We start from the raw sequence: 10,785 nt of genomic DNA, 5'->3' as shown, positions 1-10,785 counted from the left end.
TAATGTGTGATTTCTATTTACCATCTGTTAATCCTATAGACACATGAAATGTATAGTGAATCATGAATAGCATGCAGGCTCTGTGTGATTCTGATTTAAGTTGGGTACTGGTGAAGTTTTTAGCTAGAAGTCACTAGGTTAGGATTATCTCTTCACTCATCTATCACCCTAATTTTTTATGGCTAACTTCCAATATCTACTGTGCATCTCATAGAAACGACACACTCCCAGACACTTTTTTGTTTGTTTCAGTGGCAATATTAGAATTTCCAAAATGGTCACTCTGATATTCTCCATTGCTCTGTCACATTTTAAACTTAGATTGTTTTTATTGTGCTAACTAATCCACTTACCTCAAGCAACTGCTACAGGAGTAAGAGGCAGGAAAATGGTGGGTGTTACATCTGGATCTCCACATTTTGGCCTTTATGAATGTCCCCGTCCTGGTCTTAGTGATTGTCCCCATGCCAGATTACTATGTTGAAGTAGCCCTGCTCCTAGGCACACAGGTTTCCCATGTCAAACTGAGGTCCTGTCTCTAGGAAAGTGAATCTGAGTCAGCCACCAGTGAATATACCCACCTCAAAGCTGATGTAGGATCGGCGATTCCCATATGATGCCCTTGGATGCTACGCTGGTGCTTAGCCCTGGCTTCAGAGCACAGCCAGGACTGACAAAGAAGTCGCAATGGTTTGAAATGATTTCAGGCAGCCCCACAGGGGAAAGCAGGAGATAACCACGCTAACGGGTTTGGGTGTGAAGTGTGGATTGCACCGCTCAATCAATTCCACACTCTTGAATTCTGCGTCATAGGATAGTAAAGCTGCCCAGGATAAACCAGAGAGAGGAAATGATCAACCTTTGGAAGCTTTTACAATACCTGAGCTGAAGGGAGGCGAAAAAGGACTAGATGAAAGGACACACCTAGCATATCCAAGCATCTATCCCCAAACCTGCAGGAAGATTTTATCTCCCTCTGAGACTAAAAAGGCACACTTCTGTGATTGATAATATTGGCCTGGTCCCCCAAAACAAAACCAGGACTCAAAAAAACACACTGGTTGACATGAATTGCTTCTTTCTCCCTACATCTTTATTGTGTCCCTTCAGGGATGATGTTTAATGAATGACTACTGCCAAGGTCTCTCAGTTCTGGCAGGACTATCTTTAGTTGACATCACCTATACCGTGCCACAACAGTGGCTGCAGTCGGATATGAAGGAGAGGTGGGTCCTCCCTGGGGACCCATTCAGAATAGAAAACTGGCACACTGGATTATCTCCTGTGACAGTGGGAGGGAGTCTGTTGGCACCTCCAACGGAATTAGAGGGAAGAATGATATATTCCTGGCAAAAAGCTAACAGTATTTTTTTAAATCTATGGTTAGATCTATCTCCCATTAAAAATGTCCCCAAGCACACCCTAATTCTATGATCAGTCTAGTTAGCATTTCCACTGTTGTATATTAACTAGCCTCATGTTAAGGATGACTTCATGCATTATTCATCCATCTGTGTTATAAGCAACTTGAAAGGCATCTCTGCAGTCTTTATATGCCCTCATTACTAACCCTATACACAGCAGAAACTTAGTGAATAGTTTTTTAGTCACAATCATAGCCATAGTCTAGTTCATTAAACTTCTCCTGATTTTAGAATGTATTATACCTGACATTTTAGTTTGAGCTGGTGCATGTGCTCTTGTGTGCCAACAGGAAAAAACAAATGCCATCCTGACACAGTGTTTCTTTAAACAATTCTTTCATTCACCTTTTTTGTGGTCACCTCATGGCAACTCATCATATTGAATCGTTATTTACAAATCCTGCGAATGCTTTCAACACAGCCCAACCAGTGGCACTGTATTAAGATGAATCTTGTTTTTGCTCCAGTGGATTAGTTACATCTCATTCGTAATTAATGATCTTTTACCATTATGGCTTGGAGGTGTCCTGATAGGAGGGGAGGAAGAAAGAAAGGAAAGAAAAAGAAGAAAGGAAGGGAGGGAGGGAAGAAAGGAAGGAGGGATGGAGAGAAGGAAGCAAGGAAGGAAAAAAGGAAGAAAGGAAGGGAGGAAGGAAGGAAGGAGAAATACTTTGTGATCAAATAGTCCAATTATAATTTATAACCAAATATAATTACATACAGAAAGTCATACCTGAAGAAACAAAGGGAAACTTAAAGGTCCTCAAAACCACGTCAATTCATCTTCAGATTGTTTAACCAACATAACCTCAAGGATGTTTATATGTTAGAGTCAGTGATTTGGTCATTGGTATTCAATCTACTGGTGCATGACTAAATCAGTAAAAGGTTTCTCAGAATTTTGATATTGATGTCAACTAGGAAATTACTAGTTAACAGAATTATGCCACTATCACTATAATGTAACCAGAATCTTGTTGGATCTGAATAATTAAGGTCTGTCTCTGGAGGGAAATAGTCACTATCATCCTTGCATATTTAACTATTTCCAGTATTATCAAGAGTCATCTTTGTGATCCCACAACTCATTCTAGAGTAGCAACTCTAGCAAACATTTTCCAGCATAACATGTGTTGTAAAGAACACTTTTAAGTCCTGTCTCTCCTTGGTAGGGCTCACATTCTAAATAGCAGGTACACAAAACTTTTCCTAATCACTTTCTAAGAATGTTATTTTTCCTCCTGCTTTTTCTACATCAGTGAAGAGAAACATAACACAGTTTTTGGACTGATTAGGGATAGAAGTTAACAAAAGTTCATGTCACTTAAGGTTTCAGCAAACATGGGAGTGCCAGGAATTAAGAGTCAGTCATCAAATAGGTATCAACCATTCACCATGTTAATAGTTCTTAACACAATGATTAAGATGATGTCCAAATGCTCCTTTCAACTTATGGCTCAGGCAAGAGTCACCCCTTACGTGAAGCCTTCATGACTTATTGGTTGCTTTCAGCATTCTCTTCCACCATCATGATTTCCCATATAACTTTTTAATTATATTATACTATATATGTTGGCCCTTGGCTTTCATCTTCCATGCATTGTTCCCTGATTGCTTTTTCATGTCTAAGATTACCTCCCCAATAAGAAAGTAAAGCCCTGTGGGTACCTATAAATGATATTTGACCATAAAGTTAGAGAAATAATTTGCCTCAAGAAACTTGAACTTAGGAATTCCAGTGAGAGCCCTCAGCTGACAAACAGCCACCATGCTCCAGTGCACATGCATGGCAAGGCAGCTGCTACAACTCAAAAATATCTGGAGGCCTGTCCTAAGAACCTACACCTCATCTGAAACCTTAGAATCTTTTTTATGCTTAATGACAAATCTTTGAATTTTGAAGATAGATACGGGCTTTTGAAATGGCCAGGAGTCATTTGGAGAATGGACTTATGAATCGTTTAGTAAGTAGAAGGACAATACAGTTTCTAGTGAAAAATAAAGTGAGAATCTAAATAATTGAGAGTTGATTTTCTTGTGTGATTTATAGATCAGCTATGGAGGCAACACTGGTGGGTAGTGACACACATTTTAAAGAGTGGCACTTTGTCATTCTTCCAAAGGTGACTAAATTTCAATACAATTCCTGCTCATTTTGTTAAAACAAATCTGTCTTATTGTTTCATACGGGTACATCCTAGTTTTTCTTTTTTTTTTAATTTATTTATTATTATTATACTTTTAAGTTTTAGGGTACATGTGCACATTGTGCAGGTTAGATACATATGTATACATGTGCCATGCTGGTGCGCTGCACCCACTAACTCGTCATCTAGCATTAGGTATATCTCCCAATACTATCCCTCCCCCCTCCCCCCACCCCACAACAGTCCTCAGAGTGTGATATTCCCCTTCCTGTGTCCATGTGATCTTATTGTTCAGTTCCCACCTATGAGTGAGAATATGCGGTGTTTGGTTTTTTGTTCTTGCAATAGTTTACTGAGAATGATGATTTCCAATTTCATCCATGTCCCTACAAAGGACATGAACTCATCATTTTTAATGGCTGCATAGTATTCCATGGTGTATATGTGCCACATTTTCTTAATCCAGTCTATCATTGTTGGACATTTGGGTTGGTTCCAAGTCTTTGCTATCGTGAATAATGCCGCAATAAACATACGTGTGCATGTGTATTTATAGCAGCATGATTTATAGTCCTTTGGGTATATACCCAATAATGGGATGGCTTGGTCAAATGGTATTTCCAGTTCTAGATCCCTGAGGAATCGCCACACTGACTTCCACAATGGTTGAACTAGTTTACATTCCCACCAACAGTGTAAAAGTGTTCCTATTTCTCCACATCCTCTCCAGCACCTGTTGTTTCCTGACTTTTTAATGATCGCCATTCTAACTGGTGTGAGATGGAATCTCATTGTGGTTTTGATTTGCATTTCTCTGATGGCCAGTGATGATGAGCATTTTTTCATGTGTTTTTTGGCTGCATAAATGTCTTCTTTTGAGAAGTGTCTGTTCATGTCTTTTGCCCACTTTTTGATGGGGTTGTTTGTTTTTTTCTTGTAAATTTGTTTGGGTTCATTGTAGATTCTGGATATTAGCCCTTTGTCAGATGAGTAGGTTGCAAAAATTTTCTCCCATTTTGTAGGTTGCCTGTTCACTCTGATGGTAGTTTCTTTTGCTGTGCAGAAGCTCTTTAGTTTAATTAGATCCCATGTGTCAATTTTGGCTTTTGTTGCCATTGCTTTTGGTGTTTTAGACATGAAGTCCTTGCCCATGCCTATGTCCTGAATGGTAATGCCTAGGTTTTCTTCTAGGGTTTTTATGGTTTTAGGTCTAACGTTTAAGTCTTTAATCCATCTGGAATTGATTTTTGTATAAGGTGTAAGGAAGGGATCCAGTTTCAGCTTTCTACATATGGCTAGCCAGTTTTCCCAGCACCATTTGTTAAATAGGGAATCCTTTCCCCATTGCTTGTTTTTGTCAGGTTTGTCAAAGATCAGATAGTTGTAGATACGCGGCATTATTTCTGAGGGCTCTGTTCTGTTCCATTGATCTATATCTCTGTTTTGGTACCACTACCATGCTGTTTTGGTTACTGTAGCCTTGTAGTATAGTTTGAAGTCAGGTAGCGTGATGCCTCCAGCTTTGTTCTTTTGGCTTAGGATTGACTTGGCGATGCGGGCTCTTTTTTGGTTCCATATGAACTTTAAAGTAGTTTTTTCCAATTCTGTGAAGAAAGGCATTGGTAGCTTGATGGGGATGGCATTGAATCTGTAAATTACCTTGGGCACTATGGCCATTTTCACGATATTGATTCTTCCTACCTATGAGCATGGAATGTTCTTCCATTTGTTTGTATCCTCTTTTATTTCATTGAGCAGTGGTTTGTAGTTCTCCTTGAAGAGGTCCTTCACATCCCTTGTAAGTTGGATTCCCAGGTATTTTATTCTCTTTGAAGCAATTGTGAATGGGAGTTCACTCATGATTTGGCTCTCTGTTTCTCTGTTGTTGGTGTATAAGAATGCTTGTGATTTTTGTACATTGATTTTGTATCCTGAGACTTTGCTGAAGTTGCTTATCAGCTTAAGGAGATTTTGGGCTGAGACAATGGGGTTCTCTAGATATACAATCATGTCATCTGCAAACAGGGACAATTTGACTTCCTCTTTTCCTAATTGAATACCCTTTATTTCCTTCTCCTGCCTAATTGCCCTGGCCAGAACTTCCAACACTATGTTGAATAGGAGTGGTGAGAGAGGGCATCCCTGTCCTGTGCCAGTTTTCAAAGGGAATACTTCCAGTTTTTGCCCATTCAGTATGATATTGGCTGTGAGTTTGTCATAGATAGCTCTTATTATTTTGAAATACGTCCCATCAATACCTAATTCATTGAGAATTTTTAGCATGAAGGGTTGTTGAATTTTGTCAAAGGCTTTTTCTGCATCTATGGAGATAATCATGTGGTGTTTGTCTTTGGCTCTGTTTATATGCTGGATTACATTTATTGATTTGCGTATATTGAACCAGCCTTGCATCCCAGGGATGAAGCCCACTTGATCATGGTGGATAAGCTTTTGGATGTGCTGCTGGATTTGTTTTGCCAGTATTTTATTGAGGATTTTTGCATCAATGTTCATCAAGGATATTGGTCAAAATTCTCTTTTTTTGTTGTGTCTCTGCCTGGCTTTGGTATCAGAATGATGCTGGCCTCATAAAATGAGTTAGGGAGGATTCCCTCTTTTTCTATTGATTGGAATAGTTTCAGAAGGAATGGTATCAGTTCCTCCTTGTACCTCTGGTAGAATTCGGCTGTGAATCCATCTTGTCCTGGACTCTTTTTTGTTGGTAAGCTATTGATTATTGCCACAATTTCAGAGCCTGTTATTGGTCTATTCAGAGATTCAACTTCTTCCTGGTTTAGTCTTGGGAGAGTGTATGTGTTGAGGAATTTATCCATTTCTTCTAGATTTTCTAGTTTATTTGTGTAGAGGTGTTTGTAGTATTCTCTGATGGTAGTTTGTATTTCTGTGGGATTGGTGGTGATATCCCCTTTATCATTCTTTATTGTGTCTATTTGATTCTTCTCTCTTTTTTTCTTTATTAGTCTTGCTAGTGGTCTATCAATTTTGTTGATCCTTTCCAAAAACCAGCTCCTGGATTCATTAATTTTTTGAAGGGTTTTTTGTGTCTCTATTTCCTTCAGTTCTGCTGTGATTTTAGTTATTTCTTGCCTTCTGCTAGCTTTTGAATGTGTTTGCTCTTGCTTTTCTAGTTCTTTTAATTGTGATGTTAGGGTGTCAATTTTGGATCTTTCCTGCTGTCTCTTGTGGGCATTTAGTGCTATAAATTTCCCTCTACACACTGCTTTGAATGCGTCCCAGAGATTCTGGTATGTTGTGTCTTTGTTGTCGTTGGTTTCAAAGAACATCTTTATTTCTGCCTCCATTTCGTTATGTACCCAGTAGTCATTCAGGAGCAGGTTGTTCAGTCTCCATGTAGTTGAGCAGTTTTGAGTGAGATTCATAATCCTGAGTTCTAGTTTGATTGCACTGTGGTCTGAGAGATAGTTTGTTATAATCTCTGTTCTTTTACATTTGCTGAGGAGAGCTGTACTTCCAAGTATGTGGTCAATTTTGGAATAGGTGTGGTGTGGTGCTGAAAAAAATGTATATTCTGTTGATTTGGGGTGGAGAGTTCTGTAGATGTCTATTAGGTCCGCTTGGTGCAGAGCTGAGTTCAATTCCTGAGTATTCTTGTTGACTTTCTGTCTTGTTGATCTGTCTAATGTTGACAGTGGGGTGTTAAAGTCTCCCATTATTAATGTGTGGGAGTCTAAGTCTCTTTTGTAGGTCACTCAGGACTTGCTTTATGAATCTTGGTGCTCCTGTATTGGGTGCATATATATTTAGGATAGTTAGCTCTTCTTGTTGAATTGATCCCTTTACCATTATGTAATGGCTTTCTTTGTCTCTTTTGATCTTTGTTGGTTTAAAGTCTGTTTTATCCAAGACTAGGATTGCAACCCCTGCCTTTTTTTGTTTTCCATTTGCTTGGTAGATCTTCCTCCATCCTTTTATTTTGAGCCTATGTGTGTCTCTGCACGTGAGATGGGTTTCCTGAATACAGCACACTGATGGGTCTTGACTTTTTATCCAATTTGCCAGTCTGTGTCTTTTAATTGGAGCATTTAGTCCATTTACATTTAAAGTTAATATTGTTATGTGTGAATTTGATCCTGTCATTATGATGTTAGCTGGTTATTTTGCTCGTTAGTTGATGCAGTTTCTTCCTAGTCTCGATGGTCTTTACATTTTGGCATGATTTTGCAGCGGCTGGTACCTGTTTTTCCTTTCCATATTTAGCGCTTCCTTCAGGAGCTCTTTTAGGGCAGGCCTGGTGGTGACAAAATCTCTCAGCATTTGCTTGTCTGTAAAGTATTTTATTTCTCCTTCACTTATGAAGCTTAGTTTGGCTGAATATCAAATTCTGGGTTGAAAATTCTTTTCTTTAAGAATGTTGAATATTGGCCCCCATCTTTTCTGGCTTGTAGGGTTTCTGCCGAGAGATCCACTGTTAGTCTGATGGGCTTCCCCTTGAGGGTAACCCAACCTTTCTCTCTGGCTGCCCTTAAATTTTTTCCTTCATTTCAACTTTGGTGAATCTGACAATTATGTGTCTTGGAGTTGCTCTTCTCGAGGAGTATCTCTGTATTTCCTGAATCTGAACGTTGGCCTGCCTTGCTAGATTGGGGAAGTTCTCCTGGATAATATCCTGCAGCGTGTTTTCCAACTTGTTCCATTCTCCCCATCACTTTCAGGTACACCAATCAGACGTAGATTTGGTCTTTTCACATAGTCCCATATTTCTTGGAGGCTTTGCTCGTTTCTTTTTATTCTTTTTTCTCTAAATTTCCCTTCTCACTTCATTTCATTCATTTCATCTTCCATTGCTGATACCCTTTCTTCCAGTTGATCGCATTGGCTCCTGAGGCTTCTACATTCTTCACGTAGTTCTCGAGCCTTGGTTTTCAGCTCCATCAGCTCCTTTAAGCACTTCTCTGTATTGGTTATTCTAGTTATACATTCTTCTAAATTTTTTTCAAAGTTTTCAACTTCTTTGCCTTTGGTTTGAATGTCCTCCCGTAGCTCAGAGTAATTTGATCGTCTGAAGACTTCTTCTCTCAGCTCATCAAAGTCATTCTCCATCCAGCTTGTTCCCTTGCTGGTGAGGAACTGCGTTCCTTCGGAGGAGGAGAGGCGCTCTGCTTTTTAGAGTTTCCAGTTTTTCTGTTCTGTTTTTTCCCCATCTTTGTGGTTTTATCTACTTTTGGTCTTTGATGATGGTGATGTACAGATGGGTTTTTGGTGTGGATGTCCTTTCTGTTTGTTAGTTTTCCTTCTAACAGACAGGACCCTCAGCTGCAGGTCTGTTGGAATACCCTGCCGTGTGAGGTGTCAGTGTGCCCCTGCTGGGGTGCCTCCCAGTTAGGCTGCTCGGGGGTCAGGGGTCAGGGACCCACTTGAGGAGGCAGTCTGCCCGTTCTCAGATCTCCATCTGCGTGCTGGGAGAACCACTGCTCTCTTCAAAGCTGTCAGACAGGGACATTTAAGTCTGCAGAAGTTACTGCTGTCTTTTTGTTTGTCTGTGCCCTGCCCCCAGAGGTGGAGCCTACAGAGGCAGGCAGGCCTCCTTGAGCTGTGGTGGGCTCCACCCAGTTCCAGCTTCCTGGCTGCTTTGTTTACCTAATCAAGCCTGGGCAATGGTGGGCACCCCTCCCCCAGCCTTGCTGCCACCTTGCAGTTTGATCTCAGACTGCTGTGCTAGCAATCAGCAAGACTCCGTGGGCGTAGGACCCTCTGAGCCAGGTGCGGGATATAATCTTGTGGTGCGCCATTTTTTAAGCCCGTCGGAAAAACGCAGTATTCGGGTGGGAGTGACCCGATTTTCCAGGTGCTGTCCGTCACCCCTTTCTTTGACTCGGAAAGGGAACTCCCTGACCCCTTGCGCTTCCCAAGTGAGGCAATGCCTCGCCCTGCTTCGGCTCGCGCACGGTGCGCGCACCCACTGACCTGCGCCCACTGTCTGGCACTCCCTAGTGAGATGAACCCGGTACCTCAGATGGAAATGCAGAAATCACCCGTCTTCTACGTCGCTCACGCTGGGAGCTGTAGACCAGAGCTGTTCCTGTTTGGCCATCTTGGCTCCTCCTCCATCCTAGTTTTTCATCTGTATCTAGCTCAGTGCTGAATACTAAGCTATAAACAGAAAATTTTGCACACTCTTGGGCCAGACTGACTAGACTTGAAGTATGCCTTTACTACTTTCCTGCTGGAGTGAACTTGGACAGGTAACCTAATCTCTCTGTGTCTTAATTTCCTTATCTCTAAATGAGTATGGGTTTTTGTGAAGACTAAACAAGTTAATAAGTGTGAAGTACTTAGGAGAATGCCTGAGACATAATGGTAACTATTAGTATTACTGATTCAATCAGAATTAACTAATTGGTATTCGATATTATATTTATTATTCTTTTATAATTACTCATAATCAAAATCACACTATGAAAAGTCCTTTCCTACAAATGTAATCTTTTGTAACTTAAATACCAGAAGACATTCAACTAATCCTCTCTCTATGAGACAATTACCTACTGCTTGTGCCACTGGGTCTTCCCTAGTGTTCTAAGTCATGGATGCCAACAGTATGAAGACATGTTGAGCCAGCGGGTCCTCACATCACATCTGATGATGTCTGGTCTCGGCATGAACAGCACACTATACAAAGAAGTAAGCAGAAAGTGGCTTGGAAGGAGACAAAATATCTGGATGCTGGACGAAGGTGTCATATATGTCAAATGGCTTTGAAATGTCTGCTTACCTCATTAATATTTCTCCCAATATTCAGCTATTTAAGGCCATAGTCATTAAGGAAAGTGTAAAATATTTCTACTACACACCTATTCCTTCACTTGCCCCAAGGATCACAAATTAATTACAAGCCATGCCACAGTCTAAGGGTAAACATTTCTTCCATCATGGATCATGTAACACCAAGAACAAGGACTCTATCTCTCTTTCATGGCCTAGGATATCTGTCTGTGTGAGCAGGAAATCTATCTGACCCTCCAGAGATGGGGCAGCTGCCCCCGCTTCCTGCCACCTGGAAGTGGGTGGCCTTGAACCGAGGACCCATTCGTGTTGCAAACATGTATTGTGTAGAGTCCATCATCCTGTTTAACTTGGCATCACCTACAAGCACTCCAACATTTTATGAATGAGATTACTGCCAAATCGGTATGTTTCTGATTCAGTTACACTTAACCCATTATCTCTAAGTG

At 40.7% G+C, this 10,785-nt stretch overlaps 1 annotated feature.

The window, feature by feature from the left end:
* Positions 8,802 to 9,413: an enhancer, noted in NCBI's record as "H3K27ac-H3K4me1 hESC enhancer chr8:116765634-116766245 (GRCh37/hg19 assembly coordinates)". NCBI's record gives its function as "activates a minimal SCP1, AML or CMV promoter by ChIP-STARR-seq in naive H9 embryonic stem cells {active_cell/tissue: H9 hESC(naive)}" and the evidence as "EXISTENCE:reporter gene assay evidence [ECO:0000049][PMID:30033119]".

Source organism: Homo sapiens, chromosome 8 (assembly GCF_000001405.40).
Source record: "Homo sapiens chromosome 8, GRCh38.p14 Primary Assembly".
Classification (NCBI taxonomy): Eukaryota; Metazoa; Chordata; class Mammalia; order Primates; family Hominidae; genus Homo; species Homo sapiens.
This window is presented reverse-complemented; position numbering and strand designations above follow the sequence as displayed.